Consider the following 18593-nt stretch of genomic DNA (forward strand, 5'->3'; position numbering starts at 1 on the left):
AGGCTGTATGGACCATTTGGTCTCTGTCATAACTAATCAACTCTGCCCCATAGCATAAAAGCAACCATAGATGATGCTTAAATAAATGACGGTGGCTGTGTTCCAAATAACTATTTACAAAAACAGGCAGTAGGATGATTTGGCCCATGGACCATAGTTTACTGACCCCTGATCTAGAGTTCCAAGACAGTGGTTCTCAATCTTTAGCGTGCCTCAGAATTCCCTTGGAGGGTTTGTTACAACAGAAATAGCTGTGCTCCAACCCCAGGGCTTCTAATTCTGTAGGGCCAGAGCAGGGCCTAAGAATCTGCATTTCTAATGAGTTTCCAGATGCTGCTACTGGTCAGAAGATCCACACTTTGAAAACCACTGATCTAAACCTCACTGACTAAACAGGATGTTCAATATCAGATGGAACAGGATGTGCCATCTGATTGGCCACAAACATTTGTCACTTGTAGTAAGTTCCACACATCAAAGCTCCAACAAAATTAAGCAATTTAAAAAGAAGCTGGGGAAAACAAAATACTCAGAAGTCTTTCTTTACTTTGACTTCAGTGTAAATTTATCATTGCCCCATTCATTCTCAAATCTCTTTATGCAATATTTTCACCTAACATGTTCTGAGCCCTATAAGGAGTTGAGAAGTATTAATGTCTATAAATCAAACAAGAAAATAAAATCACTTTTAAAGACAAAGGTAAATGATTCTTACAAAATCAAAGAAAAGTCAACAAAGCCCATGTTCTTGTTTTGTTTTTTTTTTTCTTAGTCTCGCTCTATCGCCCAGGCTGGAGTGCAATGGCATGATCTCGGCTCACTGCAAACTATGCCTCCCGGGTTCAAACTATTCTCCCGCCTCAGCCTCCCAAGTAGCTGGTATTACAGGCACACGCCACCATGGCCGGCTAATTTTATGACATTTTTAGTAGAGACGAGGTTTCACCATGTTGCCTGGGCTGGTCTTGAACTCCTGGCCTCAAATGATCCACCCACCTTGGCCTCCCAAAGTGCAGGGATTACAGGTGTGAGCCACCGTGCCCAGCCAAAGTACAAGTCCATTAGAAGTGTTTTAGTTTGGGCCAGGCACAGTGGCTCATGCCTGTAATCCCAGCACTTTGGGAGGCCGAGGCAGGCAGATCACCTGAGCTCAGGAGTTTGAGATCAGCCTGGCCAACATGGCAAAACCCTGTCTCTACTAAAAATACAAGACTAAGCCGGGCGTGGTGGTGCACATGTGTAGTCCCAGCTACTCGGGAGGCTGAGGCAGGAGAATTGCTTGAACCCAGGAGGCGGAGGTTGCAGTGAGCAGAGATCACACCATTGCACTCCAGCCTGGGTGACAGAGTGAGACTCCATCACAAAAAAAAAAAGTGTTTTATTTCAATAAAATTGAAATAATAATATACGTAAGGTAGTTTAAGACTTAAGAATTATGTAATTTTATGTGCATGAGAATCTCATGAGGTAGATAATATAGCCATTACTATCCTTCTTTTACAAGATGAAGAAACTGAAGAAAAACCAACTGGTGATATCACACAAATTACTTAAAATGTTTCCTTAAAATCCCTTTTTCCTAGTAACTCTTAAATTGCATTTTTCAAATCCAACTTACACATATCTTTTTAGGACCATGTTTATGGATGTGTCTTTATCGGGGAAAATATTGTTCTAGTAAGATCTTCAAGTCCATATTCATATTTGTGGGCCTAATTCTGAAGCCACCCAGGCAAGTCTAACTAAGAAACCTGAACTTTAATCAGATGGCAGTTTAAAGCCCACTCTACCATTAGAGCAAGTGGGTCACAGATTATGGAAGTATGATGATCCAGCAGTATAACAGAAATACTCAGCAATGGGAGAAATATTAATGTAGATAATCCAAAAAGTAGAGCAGCAAGTTTAGAATGCTCCCTCTCCAGATACCCACACTCCTTCTGCAATGATAATGAATAGATATTTTCATTTAAATACATATTTACACAGATTACTTTCACATCCATAAGAGCAAAATGTTTTGTTTTTTTTAAAGCTTTGCCTATAATATGTATGGTTGGTAAAGGTTTTTTCCATCTTTAGCATGCTGTTAAAAATGTTATGTATGTTGATTATGTGAAATACATTCTCACTTTAACCTGTGATTTTAATATTCTAGTAACAGTTCTCTTAAATTTATATGAAATGTAATTAAAGAAAGTCCTCAGTGAAAACAGCTTCTTGCTTGTTTTACAAGTATCTAATTATTCTACAACTGACAAAATTTTTAAAAAATTTATTAAAAAGATAGTCTCAAATTTAATGCCACACTATACTGCTAACAAAAACCCAGTTAAGAAGATACTAAGCCTAAGATGAGCACCAGCAGAGATTCCATATAAAGGCTGATGATTCTGCTTTTGAACTAATAACTCAGATGGAAGTCAGCAAAAATTTCTAACCTAAATAATGCAATATAAATAATACTGTCCAAGGATTTCTGAAACCAATCTAAGCAGTATTTCCATAGAAGTGATCTAAACAGACCAACCACTCAATTTCAACATGATCATTCTTACACCTGACAATGTAATAAGAACTAGAAGATGAAATACTGTTCTGTGGTTTTAGGTTATTTAGATTCAGTGCCCAGTAGTGTCAGAGACTACAACTTCAGAATCTTTCCACCTCATTTTGCTCACTGTTAAGATGTAGAAATTGCTGTTGTAATAAAATTTTGGGAAGTTACATAAAGGAACACTACAATATTCATAAATCCTATATATGGGTGTTTCTGAAATATATATTCTGGGATTTTCCTTTTTTCAGTCTTGAAATTTCACATTATGAACAATTAATTAATCTGTCAATTGTCTAAATGCAAACATAAGAAGTGTGATACAAAATTCCTTCTTTTAACAATCTTGGGAGTTTTTCACAACACTACGGAATTATAATCTAGAACAGACTTGGAAACAAATTATGAAAATCTGTAACTCAATACTGTATTTTCTATGTACATAAGAGGCAATGACAGTTTTTTTTTAACTTTTTTTATTATACTTTAAGTTCTGGGATACATGTGCAGAACGTACAGGTTTGTTACATAGGTATACATGTGCCATGGTGGTTTGCTGCACCCATCAACCCATCATCTACATTAGGTATTTCTCCTAATGTTATCCCTCCCCTTGCCCCCCAACCCCCAACAGGCCCCGGTGTGTGATGTTCCCCTCCCTGTGCCTATATGTTCTCATGGATGAAGCTGGAAACCATCATTCTCAGCAAACTAACACAGGAACAGAAAACCAAACACTGCATGTTCTTACTCATAAGTGGGAGTTGAACAATGAGAGCAATGACATTTTTAAAAGAATTTTTTTAAGACAGTGTCTTGCTCTGTTGCCTGGGTTGGAGTGCAGTGATTACAGCTCACTGGACAGTTTTTTTGTTTGTTTTCTGTTTTTTTTTTTTTTTTTTTTTTTTGAGACAGAGTTTTGCTCTTGTTGCCCCAGCTGGACTACAGTGGTGCAATCTTGGCTCGCTGCAACCTCCGCCTCCTGGGTTCAAGCAATTCTCCTGCCTCAGCCTCCCAAGTAGCTGGGATTACAGGCACGCACCACCATGCCCAGCTAATATTTGTATTTTTAGTAGAGACGGGGCTTCACCACGTTAGTCAGGCTGGTCTCAAACTCCTGACCTCAAGTGAGCCACCCACCTCAGCCTTCCAACGTGCTGGGATTACGGGCATAAGCCACTGCACCCGGCCTGGACAGTTTTTAAAAAGACAGAAAGGACTCTTCAATATATTTCTTAGGCTGGGTGCAGTGGTTCATGCCTGTAATCGCAGCGCTTTGGGAGGTTGGGGCAGGAGGACTGCTTGAGGCCAGGAGTTTGAGACCAGCCTAGGCAACATAGTGAGACCCTCTCTCCTTCCCTCTTGCAAGTAATTTATATATATATATATATAAAATATATATAAAAATATATATAATGTTATAATATACATAATTTATGAAAGTTATACTTTTTTAAAGTAATATATGTGACTTTATTAAAATTTCTTCAATTTTCCCTACCTGTATTCCTCTACTCCTTTTTATAAATGAGGAAGCAGGCCTACAAAGATAACATGAGTTACCCAAGGAGAAGACCGACAAATCATTCAAGCCTCACCTCCTCTGTAATGATTTCCCCAACTTCCTTCTCCTACTAGGTGGTCACACAGTCTCTGGATTTCTCAGTTAATGTACTCACTCATTCAACAACTGCTGACCAAATATTTTACTATGTGTGTCTGTTGGTTACCAAGTTACGCAGAGGATATGTGCATGAGTGTGTGAATAACTCATTTGAGCTCCCTGAGGCCAGAGAACTCAAGTGTTTGGTGAATAGCAATACCTAATGCTAAATGACGAGTTAATGGGTGCAGCACACCAACATGGCACATGTATACATTTGTAACAAACCTGCACGTTGTGCACATGTACCCTAAAACTTAAAGTATAATAATAATAAAATTTAAAAAATAATAATAATGACAATGGCAATTAAAATAACAACCTTTAGACATTTCACATAGATCATGCTATTCAATCCTCACAACAACCTTACAAAGTATATACCATTAACCACATTTTACAGATAAAGAAACTGAGGGTCAGAGAGGCTAACTAACTTGCCCAGGACCTCATAGCTAGAAATGAATACATAAATGAACAATGAATAAAAGTTAGCACCACTAACAATTTTACACACATGGTAGAAAAGAATGTTCATTTCACCATATTATTTATGTAATAGAGCCTGTGTTTAGCACTGAGAATGTGCACATTTGGAAATTGTTGAAACTTACGTACATAACTGCCAAAAGTAATTTGAGTATCTCAGAGACATTCTAGAAATAAAAAATACTTATGCTGCACTTTACAATTCACTAATCCACACAAATGGTTTGTGAAGCAGCTATCATTCCTTTTATAAATAAGGAGAAAATAGCCACACTGTGCCCAAAGGTTACCAGATCAGAAGGGGGCTGCCTAACAAGCCACAGAGCAACCGCATTCCATACCTTTAGGGGAAATCACATACCAAGGGTAAGAAAGAAGGCCAAGAATTGATGATGTTTTCTAAAAACACAAATTAGAATCTATGAAATAGCAGTAGTATAATGGTAATCTGCACACCATGGAAGGACTAGAGAGAGAGACCTCTGTAACTGAATGAATATCATCATCCTTTAATTTAAGAAAACATTAAAATCTGCATGTAGTTGAATGGTAATACAGTGTACTTCTATCCTAGATTTAAATATACCAAAATACTCTAACTTAAGTGTTAAAAGCCTGAAATACAGACTGAACATAGTATATTTTGGATATTATTAAACTACATGAGAGACAGAACAATCCACATTCTTACCTGCAAATGATTCAAATACTCAAAACAATGATTACAAAGCAAAAAGGAAAGAAAGTATATTAAAAGAAATCACAAAGATTGGGAGAAAAAACAATGTACAACAGCCCAGTAATAAATAGAATACAAGAAGCTGAAGTGAAATAGCACGCACTTAGATACCAAAAAACTGGCTTATGTACAACGAAGCAATCGTTTCTTATTGTGAATGGATGTGGACAACCAAAAATAGCCAATGAACAAATTTAGTTAGGAGGTGATGGGAGAAGAAATGTGAAAGAGGAGGACAGTACTACATTCATCCAACGTGGACAAAAATCCTTGAGGCTAGAAAGAATTCAGTTTCCTATAGTAGAAAGATATAAGACAATAACAGTGGTTTGACACATACCAAGAACTTAAAGTAAATGTAAAGTATCTAAAACTTACTTTGTCACTTCATGAAAGGCTTCCATTTAATTGACAGTCATGCACAAGCTCGGGAATGAAAAGGACATAATCTTAGGAAAACCAAATGATTTTACCTAAAAGCCAGTCATCAGAAATCTGCAAAACACAATTAGAGTGAAAAAGAAATCTACTTTGTTTTTACCCTAAATATGTTGGTTCTGAGATAGATTTACAGAGAGATAGTATAAAATTACTAGTATCCACAGAAAAGAAGCCAGACCTAGCTTTTCAGACACATCATGAATTGACTATTAAACATAATATTCATTTTGATAAGTGCTTTAAATTGTTTCTCTGTTATAGCCACATGTGTTCTTAGTCCTCAGAGTATATTGGCATTTTACATTATTGATCCTCCCCCCTCTTTTAAACTTCTGTGCAGCCCATTATCCTGATTCTTCTAACTCTATGAGTTATACTCCAAACCACGAGCCCTAGAGCAGTCAACCCCCAAGAACTTGTTCACTCAGTTTTACTTCCACACAGATGACTCCCAAATCTTCACTGCCATTCCATACCTCTCACCCAAATTCCAGCTCAGCATTTCAAGCAATGTAAAATTACAATTGGCTTGCACTCAATCCAAAGCCAAAGTAACAATCCATATGACAGAATACTGGGCAGCAGCTAAAGAGGAGATAGAGACAGACAGATACATTGATGGATATGACAAGATCATCAAGTATATACTATTATTCATGAAAAATCAATATTTCAGCATAGTATACAAATATCTCACTTTTAAACAAAAAGCTTCCAGAAAGATGGAGAAGAAACTGAACAATGGTTACCTCTAGAGAATGGGGATATGGATGGTAGGAGAATTGAGACAGACTCACTACTTATCTTTGTATCACCTATATTTTAAATTGTATGGCTGGGCACAGTGGCTCACGCCTGTAATCCCAGCACTTTGGGAGACCAAGGCAGGTGGATCACCTGACGTCAGGAGTTCGAGACCAGCCTGGTGAAACCCCGTCTCTACTAAAAATAAAAAACTAGGCTGGACGCGGTGGCTCACGCCTGTAATCCCAGCACTTTGGGAGGCCAAGGCGGGTGGATCACGAGGTCAGGAGATCAAGACCATCCTGGCTTACATGGTGAAACCCCATCTCTACTAGAAATACAAAAAAAAAAAAAAAAATTAGCCGGGCGTCTGTAGTCCCAGCTACTCGGGAGGCTGAGGCAGGAGAATGGCGTGAACCTGGGAGGCGGAGCTTGCAGTAAGCCGAGATCGCGCCATTGCACTCCAGCCTGGGCGACAGAGTGAGACTCCGTCTCAAAACACACACACACACACACACACACACGCACACACAAATTAGCCAGGCGCGGTGGTGCATGCTTGTAATCCCAGCTTGTTGGGAGGCTGAGGCAAGAGAATCACTTGAACCCAGGAGGCGGAGGTTGTAGTGAGCCAAGATCGTGCCACTGCACTCCAGCCTGGGAGACAGAGCGAGACTCCATCTCAAAAAAAGAAAATAAAATTTACTACGTGCATCATTACTTTTATAATTTACTGTATAAAAACTAATTAATAAAGAAAAGTAACACAAAATTATTAAATCTCAATGTTGGAAATAAACATTAACTTCAAAACAAACTAGCTTCGGAAATGAAATTTTCCCAGGGTAGAAGTCAGAGACTCTATACTGACTTGGGCTCTACAACCAATACCATAGTGGCTCCAGGACAGAAAGGAAGGAGAGCAAGTTCTGTAGCATCTTAAATCCCACAGCATAAATCCAGAGCCATATTTGGTGCTTCTAGAATCTTCACTGTCAGTTGCAACTAAAAAATAAAACCAAAAAATGTGAGAACAGCACATCCCATCAGCTTGTTGGCTGGGGTCCGGTACCTGCTCTGCAATAGTTAACTCAGTCTCTTGATTATTTAAGGTGTACAGTGCTGGCAAACAGCTAGAAGCTCACAGACTCAGCGGCTGCAGCTCACTACACGGTTTTCAGAATCAGAGAGAACAATCTCCGTATTTTTATCACAGGATAAAGGAATAACTATCCTTTGGAAACCACTCCACCCCACTTCCAACAAACATCTACCTCTGAAACCTTATTACTTCTGGTTTGGCAAGTTAGGGGTAATTAATCAACTATCCTGTCTGTTGGGGCAAGGGAAATGGAAGAAAAAATTTGGAGAGTAAAAGAAGTAGAGAAAGTTCCAAAACAAATTATATTTTGGACAGATGGCCAAGAGTCTATATTTCCATTGCTAGATTTACCAGTTAGTTTGGTAACAAATGCTGATGTTTCATTAAAGAGAAAGACAAAAATAAAAAAGAAACAGATGAAAGAATGAATAGTATATGGAACCTCTACTGAAGAAATAAGAAATTTAACCAGAAAGTCAAACAACTAAAATTTGCAGTATAGAAACTCTGAAAATGAAGACGTGTCTTTAAGAAAATCCAACACAGTATTTTCACAACTTGAATTAGCAGCAGAATGCAGCATGAAATGAACAGACTTTAAAACCATGGAACCGCGTTGGAATCTGTGTGATCTTAGGCGAATTACTGATCACCCCCTCTGAATCTCAGTGTTCTCTGTAAAATGGGTATGATTAAATAATACATCCAAAATGCCTAACATTAGAGGGATAAATGTCAATCCCTTTATAAAGTAAGCTTTAAGTTATAGAAGTTTTTTAAACAACCTTATGTCAAAGTTCCTTTAAATGCAGTGCTCCTACCACATTTAAAATGTGAAAACGTTTAAGAAAATGTAATAATTCAAGAATAATCTCAAGAAGCAAGGTATATCTGCTCCTTCAATTTATTGAGTAGAACTACAGCTGGAGACAGAATTTTCAGTTTAAAGGAAATATCCAGGTACACAATTTAGGGACACTTGAGACGTAGTTCATCAGGTGAAACTGTTGCAGATACAAGGAAAAAATGGAGAGAGCTGAACTGCGTATGTCAAGTACATAGAAGCGTGTTACGGACATAAAAATTAAGGGAGTCCACAGGAAGTATTTATGAAGACAACTTCAAACAACACACCCTAAAGCAATCTGTAAAAAGCAGACAGGAAGAGACTAGAGAAGGTTGTATACATGCAGAAAAGCAACGGAGTAGCTCTGTTCTCCCTCCAAATGATCCTAGGATCATCAGGAATCAATATTGCTTCCCCACTCCCATTGAGGCCTGCTATCTGTAGCATCCACACCCTGAGTTCAAAAGGATTTTCCTCTGTAGAAGTACAGCTTAACTCCCATGGCTTGCATTCTTTCTGGGCCACCAACAATTTAGCTGCTGATCACTTCTTTTACCTTGTTACTTGGCTGTCACTGTGATCATGCACTGCTTTCACGATCACTGGTATTTCTGGAATATCTACTCATTTCTGGAAAATTCTCGGTTCCTTCAGGCAAACACTTGATCTTTTCCTAACATTAAAAACTAGTTTACCTACAAAGTCTAGTTAAAATTTCCGGGAAACATTTTTTCAACACAATGCGAAATTCTCCCTATGGTACTAGAAACCCAAATCACTGCATGAATCAATACATGTGAAAGTCATAGTAATTAGTACAAATTAGTAAAGCTGAATTTTTCTGTATGCTGAATTATATACTTTACGTATTATTAATCCAGTATTTACATAAAGGCTGCATTAACTCAATTCTCCAGCTAACAGCATTACTGGAATCACAAGTATGTAATTTAAAGCATACAAGCAACTTAACCATACTCTTTTAATAGAGTGTATGTACAAACACAATCCATACTAAACTGATAAATTTCTTCATATTAAATCAAGCCATTATAGTGGAAAACCATCATCAACTGTTATTGAAGCAATCCTTGTTCTGTGTTGTTCCAAACGTCAGACAATCGCCATGTTAGCATTAGATGAGTGTCATAAATCAATGTGGATCTTAAAAGGCCCAAGAAATCAAAGCCAAACACAAGCTAAAACTAAATTTTTACACAATAAGGCTGAGAAACACAAGTGCATAGAAGATAAAATCCATGTTTTAGCCATTTAGCTTCAATACCTTCCAAAAAGAATTTATTCTACTTTGTAAGAATTGTAAGCCTCTGAAAAGCCAGTCCCAAAATATTACATACATAATCTAAGTTTTAAGCCAATGATTCCTCATTATAGCTGCATATTAGAATCACACAGAGAGCTTTAAAAAAATGTCAGTGACCAGGACCCAGTCCCAGAAACTCGGACTTCACTGCTTTGACACAGGGCTCTGGCGTTGATCTTTTTTAAAAGCTCCCCGGATGATTCTAATATGCAGCCAGGTGGAGAACCACTACTTTAAACTAATGCAGGCTCTTCGGACAATAATTGCTCTGAGGTTGACAAACATGCTTTTTTGCCTTTTAATGAGATTTTATTAAAACTACTCAATTCATTCCACAGCTAATGAAAGGCAGTTACATTGCACGCACTGTGTTAATGGAGAAAGATGTGTAAGAAACATTCCCTGCCCTCAGGAAGCTCCTTATTAGTGAACTAGAGAGATCCATAAATAAGTAACTGTAATTAAATAAAAGTGCTCTCGAGGAGTAAGCAAATACAGCATGCCTCACAAAGTTGCACGTCATCCTTAAGCAAGGGTCATGCTGCATCATTCCAATTTTAGTGTATGTCCTACCAGAGCAGGAAAGTCTGAAGCTACAGGCTACTAAACAGGGCAAGTATTCACCTAACACAAGGTAAAAATGGTATGTATTTTGTTATTCCCTTTCATACACACTGCTGTACCAAGAAAGTAGGCATTTTTCTATGTTTTAATTTCGATGAATTGTCTTAAATTTCCTTCATGTAGTATTACCGGTTGTACACTTACTTATAATTGTAAAAGATACAGTAAATGATCATGACATAAAAATTAGTCATTAACCTCATTTGCATAACGCCCTTCCTTTCCAGTAATCGCTACATTTGCTAAGACAAGAAGTTTTGGGACTATGATAAGGTCTTATTATTGGAGATTTGTTTCAGTCATTTAAAAGATAGTTACATAGAAAATGTTATAGAACCAACAGTCACTCAAAGGAGTTTCTGCAAGATTTTCAAAAATGAGAAACACAGGGAAAAGAGTTTTAATTTTTAAAAAGGGAAACGGCATCCTTCCAATATTTGTAACAAATTGGGCACATGTTCCCTCAAAGACAGCTTTAACAAGGGTAAAGGCTGCAACCACTGGAAAGAAAACATATTCCAAATAATGATCTTATATTTCAAAACCTCATTAACTCTGTAAGTTATCTTTCTCAACCAAGGGGGAAAAAAACACACTGAAGGGTCTAAATTAAACGAGAACTTTCATTTATGCCATCAAGTAAGGCCAAGTACACAGTGGGTGAGTGAGTAGGTGGTTGCGTAGGTAGAGGAGTGAGTGGGTAGTCAATTAGTCTTGAAAAGTGAAATCTATTTTAAAGTACCTTAGTAAAAATTAAAACCTATTAAGATCTAGTGGTGAAAAACAACTTGTGATACTAATTTGGTAAAAAAGAAAATCAAAATTCCATAGAACTTGGATAGAAATCAATAAAAAGGTTTTCAGTACATGTGAATATCTTCAAGGGCTTTCTGTTCAAATTCAGAGGTGAACAAATTATAAGTTAAAAATGTATGCTGTCAAGGTCCCTGCAAGAAAATCTCAAGCTAATTTCAATTTCCAGATCAATATATACTAAGACAATTTACTAGAGAAACCTTCAACCTTTACTCAGATTGAGGAACACTATTATTACATTCTTTAACAATAAGGCTAGCTTGAATTCATTATTTCACATAATGGCATTTTATAATTGGCACTGACCAAGTCAGATTTTGTAGGATATGAATGAGATTTCACAGTTCATAGTAGTTAAGGTAGCCATAGAGTACCTATCACCTCAAAATTAGCTTGCTGCCCCTCTTTATGCAGCTCTGAAACAGTCAGAAAAGATGAATTTTTTTCTCCCAGGGGTGTTTCCTGAAAAATATTCTATCAATTACAAATCAGCAGAATATGGACTGTGTTAATGTGATTCTGACCATTTCTTTTTGATATCCAAAGAGATCACATCATCACCCTTCCAGACTTTAAGGAATCAGAACTAGTTACCAAAACTGATTCAGAGATGGCTATTTTACATCTTCACAATATAATTAACATTTTAATCTCACATTTTCCAATTATGACTTTGTTAGTTCATTTACATCAGCTATAACTAAGATGCAACAAACATCATTCACCCACACATACAGTCATTTGGAGGCTTTTGGGAAACACCTAATTTATCTTCACTGGGTGCTCCTAAGAATGAGGAAACCAAGGAGATTTTTGATGCATTTTTCTCTCTAGAACTGTGCTATTCACATGTGGCTACTGGGCACCTGAAACGTGGCTGGTCCGACTGGGAAACTGAATTTTGAATTGTATTTAATTTTAATTAATTAAAATTTAAATTTAGAAAAAGGTACTTGATTCGGTTATTGGAAAACTTTTATGTATATTGGGAACAACTTGGGTATGTGAATATACTTTTGCAAACGCAAATTTTATGAAACCTAAATACAGATTAAGTATTTCTGATTTTCATCAGAAATGTAGCTTAGTGTCAGAATTGAGATGTGCTATTAGTGTAAAATACACATTGGGATTTCAAAGACTTAGCATAAAAGATGTAAAATATTTCATTAATATTTTTTCATATTGATTACATGTTGAAATGTTAAGTTTGGATCTACAGGGTTAAATAAAATATTTTATTAAAATTAATTGCACCTGTATGTTTTTATTAAATGTGGCTACTAGAAAATTTTAAATTACAAATGTGGCTCATAATATATCTTTTGGACAGTGCTGTTCTAGAACACTTCCACAAGCACTTTAACAGGACACATTTGGATACTTTCCTTTTAAGTCTGGCTGGTCATGTAACAATAGGGCAAGGAGTAACATGTCCTCACATCAATTGGGTCTGAGTAAAGTGTGTAGCAAGCTCTACCCACAATTTCACCATGTGAGGCAACACTGTAATACCTCAATATGGAAAGAAAAGGAAACAAATTAGCACTCAAATTGAAATTGAGTACTGCAGACAACTTAAAAGAGATAGGGCCAACTGCTTTAAGGTCTTGGTTTCATTTCCCAACTGTGGACCTTAAAATAGACAATAAAGCACCGCTTCCAAAAAAAAAAAAAAAAAAAAAAAGAGGTAAGATATTTCAATGTTAGCTCTAGCGATCCTTATTAAGCAAAAATTTGCTCTTAAATCTTATCTCCTCAACTTCTAAAGCCGCAGAATACACGCTGTGTTAGGAAATCAACTTCAGATTGCCAGCATTTCCTTCACAAGCAAATTAGCAGGATTGTGCACTTGGAGTACTGTTTGACAAGAATGAAAAGGAAACTATTCAAAATAGATTTAAGGAATGGACAATTAGATGAGGAACTGCAGATTTAATTCTCAATCAGCACTGTGATTAATCTGATTCCCTGCTTTTCCCCAGCGTAATTATACAACACAGATGAAAGGATGAGCATTTGGACTGTCAGTTCTATATTCTAGACCAGCCCGGTGACTCAAAGCAGACGGCTCTACCACGCTAACCACCATCCCAACAACAGTCGAGGGGAGTCTCGAGCACTGATTGAACAGTCATTGCATAACAAGGCATTAAAAATTCGAATGCCCCCAACTCTTTCCACGTTCGTGTACACCAGGAGGGAATTTGCTGAAACTGAAAGCACCCCGTCTTAAATGACCCCCTCCAATCCGAGCATGGGGTGTACACAAAGGCATCTGTCTAATATCCCGCACAATAGACACACACCCCACAATTAAAACCCTGGACTCTCTCACCACACAAGCAAAGGAAATGCAAGCTGCTCTGTTTCAAAAATGGTCTATGGTACATGCAAGGTAACAATAACCCCAACTGAAGCAACTATAAAATCGGCTGTGCCACGTCCCTGTGCAACCGTCAGATAAAATGCAGGCAGCCGGCCCCACGCCTTACGGGGTGGCCAACCTCGGCTCGGTGGCCTCAATGGACCGCTGAGAACCCCCAGGCCCCCGCCTGGCAGGAGCTCCAGGTACACGTCTATAAATACTCCAGGATGAGAAGGACGAGAGGGGAAGAGGGGAAGGAGGGAGGGCAGGGGGCAGGCCCCGAGCGGGTGCGGGAAGACCGGGGCATCACTGAAATGCATTTTTCCACACTCCCGCTCCCTCGCGTGGAGACTCACTTTCCGATCACCTCGCACAGCTCGTACACATCCTCGAACAGCACGTCGTCGTCGGCCATGGTCCGGAGGGGATAGCGGCCGCAGCGTGGAGGGCTTCGAAAACGGGGGTGGGGGCGCCCAAGAGCTCAGTGCCCAGCCCCGGGATCGCCTCCTCCCCTCAGGACCCGCGAGCCCTCGGTGCCGAGGACGCTCGAGTGGGGCCGCGAGGCCCAGAGACTGCGGCGCCTTCCTCTGCAGGCGACCGCCCCGGCGCGGGCGGCGGGGCCGGGGCGCGGGAGCGAGGGCGGCCCGGGCCCGGCGCCGCCCGCCCGCCCGCTGCTTCTCGCGCTGCTCGGGCCGCGCTGCCCGGCGTGCGGATCCTCGGGGACCGCGCGGCGTCGCGCTCTCCGCTCGTCAGCCCGCGCGGGCCGCGAGGCCGCGACCGCTCCCTCTGTCCGAGGCCGGCTCCGTCGCGTCGCGGAGCAGCTCGGGCTACAGAGGGGGCCGCGGCAGGACCATGGAGCGAGGATCGCCGCGGAGGGAGGTGGCGGCGGCGGCGGATCGGCGCTGGGGACCAGGAGGCGGCGGCAGAGACGCTCCCTCCTCTTTCTCCTCCTCCCGCAGCCGCCACCGCCCGCCCGGGAGTGGGAGGGGGCTTCGCGGGACCGGCGCTCTGTGCGGGCGGGAGCCGCGGCCGCCGCCTTCTGCTCCGCCCCTACGCCTCAGCAGCCGACCGGCTCGCCAGCCCCGCTCACCCGCCTCGCGCAGACACGCCCTCCTCCCCCGTCGGCGGCGCGGCTTCCAGAACCACAGGCTCCGCCCACTCCAACCGGTCGGGAGGCGGTGGCCCAGGGAAAGGGGAGCGGGCCGAGCGGCGCATGCGCGGGGCGCCGGCCGCGTCACGGCGAACGGGCGGGCACCGGGATTCTAGAGGGCGCGGGGGGTTGAGTGGGGCGCGCCGGCTGCAGCTGCCGAGGCGGGGCTGGTTGGGGTCGTCGCCTCCGCGCCTAGCCGCGACCAAGCCGCGAAAGGGGCTGGAGACAAAAGGTCCACGGCTGCACGCTCGTTGTCCGGCAAGAGGCACGAAACTCTGGCCGCTCCCCTTTCCTTCTTTTGTAATCGCAGGGAGCCTTTCCCAGTTTTTTGCTGGGAAAAGAGGCAGGGAAAGGGTGCTAATGAATGAGAAAGCTAAAAGAGAGGTGGAGAGAGGTTGTCACTGAATCCGTGCTTGGCAGCGGATGCTTTTAGTGCTACCCTGTCATTCCTTAATGAAGATGAGGGCTGGGGGTAAGGGGAGGTCGTCCAAGAAAAGGACTAAACAAAAACTGCCTAGGAAGGTGTGCGACAGCAAACGGTCATCTATAGAGACAGCTTCTCCCACGTTCTGCCCCAAACTCAACAAATATCTATCCAGCGCCTACCCTCACTAGAGACCAACCTAGAGAGAAGCTAGGAAGGCAGGGACAAACCGTGACTTTAAGCTCATTTGTATATTGTCCTCAAACTCCCAGGACCTACTCTGCTCTCTATACTCCCTATAAATGTTAGACTTGTCAGGAACAGAATGCAACTAGAGGGAGTGCAGGCACAGGAGCAGCCAGGGAGTGAGGTTCTGGGTGTTGCCGCTGTGCTAGGTTGCATTCAATATGAAGATTTCTGTTCAACTGAGCATGTGCGGAATGAGCCAGCGCCATCAGACAGGTATATGCCTCAGTTGAAGACCAATAGTGTCTTTGTTCCTCCGCACAGCAAAAGTGCCCAATTAGTTCATAAGTCAGTTTCCAGAAATCGTCTGGTAAATTTCTCAGTGCAGTATTTTTTTTAAAAAAAGTATTTATTAATACCAAAGTGGAGGGGGTGATGTGGAGACTCACAGCCTATTTTCTCTTCAGAAACGTTTCGTGCAAACCCTTGACCACTCCCTCAAAAGGCTGAGAGATTTGCCTGCTAAGGATTTGGGTACTAAACCTTTTTTTTTTTTTTAAATGCAGATCAGAGGACAAGTGTAATTGCACACGGTTTTCCTCCTTTCTCAAAGAGCTTGTGCATTCTCTAGAGACGGGGGCTTCAGAACTTGAGAAACATTGCCTCCTTTAAGGGTCCAAGAGTTACTCACCACAAGTTGGCATGTCCAGCTCATGTCTAATGAATAAGGCGTCACTCCATTCTGCCCTGAAGTGCACAGGGACCCTCTCAAGTCACCTTGTCAGCTTCACTTCTTTTCCCCAGCCCAAGACTGAGCTATACCAAGCCTTGTCGACTTCATTTTGGGGTTTGTTGTCTTCTACAGGGACCTATGCTCAGAGGTAGAAAAGGACAATCATAAAGTAAAACAGAAAAGAAAGTGCAGGTGAAAAAAAGAGAGACAGACGATTGCAAAAATAAGTAAGTGCTCTGCTCATAGGATCACAGTTGGTTTGGATCTGGAAAGAGACTCCCTCACTTACAGATGGAAGAATGTGGTGGTTGCTCTCCCAAAAGCCATCCCACCCCTCTCCCCCACCATGGGGTAGCAGCTCTGGACTTGAGGTGAGATTGTAACCATCTTTACTGGAGAGGTGGGCTCTGATTAATTAAACTAACACATGCAGCCCCCTTGCCACAGCGATAAGCCTAATTTAATCAGCTCTTGGCACTCCCTGGTCACAAGCTTTGAGTGGTTTGAGGTCTGCCAATCAGCACAAAGCTGAGGACTTTTTCTCCTGATCTGTACTTAGATCTCCCAGTTCCCAGTGTAATATTTAGTCATATAGAAATTCTCTGCAATACACATCCCTCAGAAGTTGTACCATGTATGATGGTTAGAAGTAGATCCTCTCTGCTTCGGGGACTAAAATAAGCAAACCTTTTAAATTAATTTTTCTCTGGGTGTCTTCCAAAAATCCAATACTGTTCCAACAAATAAGCCCATGTATTAGTGAGTCAGGTGTCAATAATTTGGTTCTGTTTTCGTTTCCACAAAGAAAATGTTAAAGTAAGTGCATCTATTAGATTGTGTTCAGATGTTAGCAACTGAATATTCAACTAACAGTGGTTTAAACAAATGCAAGGGGGCGGGGTGCTCTTTTCCATGTAGCAAGGAGATGTGTGGTTATTAACATTGATCAGCTATTCAAGTGCGTCATCAGTGACCTAGGTTTATTCGTTCCACTCTGCCATTCTTGTAATGTTAGCATCTCATCCTCAGGCTTGTTGCCTCATCATTATGAGATGGCTGCTGCAATTTCAGACATTAAAGGGAGGAAGCAGGAGGGCAGTAAGGACAGGAGAGGCCTTTCTGCTCCGTCTCTCATCTATTAGGGAAAGAAAATATCTTTTTCTCATCTCACGGGCCAGGACAGAGTCACAGGCAGCAACACTTACCTGCAAGGGAAGCTGGGGACACGGATATTTGTCTTCTCCTGCCTCCTCTTGGGAGGTAGACAAGGGAGAAGTAGGGGGAAAATGGGCTTTGGTAGCAGGCTGGAGTGCAGTGGCACGATCTTGGCTCACTGTAACCTCCACCTCCTGGGTTCAAGCGATTCTTCCACCTCAGCCTCCCAAGTAGCTGGGATTACAGGCACCTGACACCATGCCCAGCTAATTTTTGTATTTTTAGTATAGGCGGGGTTTCACCATGTTGGCCAGGCTGGTCTTGAACTCCTGACCTCAAGTGATCCGCCCTTCTCGGCCTCCCAAACTGCTGGGATTACAGGCTTGAGCCACTGTACCCGGCCGATTTCTAATGCTAGGAAAATTACCAATAAAACAGTTCTACGTCTTCATCATAATGTAGCTATACCTCTAGTATATAATTGATAGGCCTTAAAAAATTCAGAAACATCTAAAACCCCACAAGGATGGAGTTGGTGCTAAACAAATTTGATTCTCAGATGTCAGTGCAAATTTTCAGTGACTTCGAGGTCTTGGACTTTCCTCACAACTGCACTAGACATTCTCAGGTTGTCGGGCTCCCACATCATTTCAGCATGACACAGACATACAAGGGAAAAACACACTCCAGAGAAATATTAGCATGAGGGCCACACACAGAGGTCAGTGTGGCACGGGGCTAATTTAGGCAATTTAGAGTTCAGCCTCACTCCATAGTATGATTGTTTAAGGATATAAATTATTACTGAATTAATGAATAAAATTAAGAATGACACTGTTCTCAACTGGAATAGTTATTGCCTCACGGTATAAACAGGATGTTCTAAGCTAAAATGAAAGACACCCTTCCTCTCTCCAGAAAAAGCTACATATATTAGACTTATACTCTGATATCATTTTGCAAGTTATTTATTTTATATTTATTCAATGAATGTCTGTGTTAGCCATGGGGGCTATAGCTGCAAATGGTTCCCGCCCTCTCTGAACTTCATTCTAAAAGAAAACAAGTTGTCGGCAAGTAATTACATTGAAGAGTGATGTTTGTTAGGATTTAGGAAGTATGGGGAACACATATTGAGAGGACTTATGGGTTGGGGAAGGCCCAGTTGAAAAAATGTTTAGAACAAGACTATAGAAATTATAGAAATTAATCAGGTGAAGGGAGTAGGGGC

At 41.2% G+C, this 18593-nt stretch overlaps 1 protein-coding gene and 1 pseudogene across 11 annotated transcripts in view, besides 2 other annotated features; both read right to left on the reverse strand.

The window, feature by feature from the left end:
- The window catches only part of CASK (calcium/calmodulin dependent serine protein kinase), a 408621-nt gene extending 393926 nt beyond the window's left edge, over positions 1-14695 (reverse strand). For 6 of the 11 annotated variants that reach the window (XM_006724566.4, XM_047442601.1, XM_011543996.3 and 3 more), the window contains exon 1: positions 14071-14175. In XM_006724566.4, the coding sequence (XP_006724629.1) occupies positions 14071-14129 (59 nt within the window). In that variant the 5' untranslated portion in view covers positions 14130-14175. Of the gene's footprint in view, positions 1-14070 lie in introns of all 11 variants that reach the window. The other 5 variants (NM_001126055.3, NM_001410745.1, NM_001126054.3 and 2 more) reach the window with 1 other exon arrangement.
- RNU6-202P (RNA, U6 small nuclear 202, pseudogene) lies at positions 10395-10490 on the reverse strand (annotated as a pseudogene).
- Positions 14150-14199: a silencer, noted in NCBI's record as "silent region_20778". NCBI's record gives its function as "represses an Ori minimal core promoter by ATAC-STARR-seq in GM12878 lymphoblastoid cells {active_cell/tissue: GM12878}" and the evidence as "EXISTENCE:reporter gene assay evidence [ECO:0000049][PMID:35858748]".
- Positions 14470-15049: a silencer, noted in NCBI's record as "silent region_20779". NCBI's record gives its function as "represses an Ori minimal core promoter by ATAC-STARR-seq in GM12878 lymphoblastoid cells {active_cell/tissue: GM12878}" and the evidence as "EXISTENCE:reporter gene assay evidence [ECO:0000049][PMID:35858748]".

Source organism: Homo sapiens, chromosome X, assembly GCF_000001405.40.
Source record: "Homo sapiens chromosome X, GRCh38.p14 Primary Assembly".
In the NCBI taxonomy this organism is placed as follows: Eukaryota; Metazoa; Chordata; class Mammalia; order Primates; family Hominidae; genus Homo; species Homo sapiens.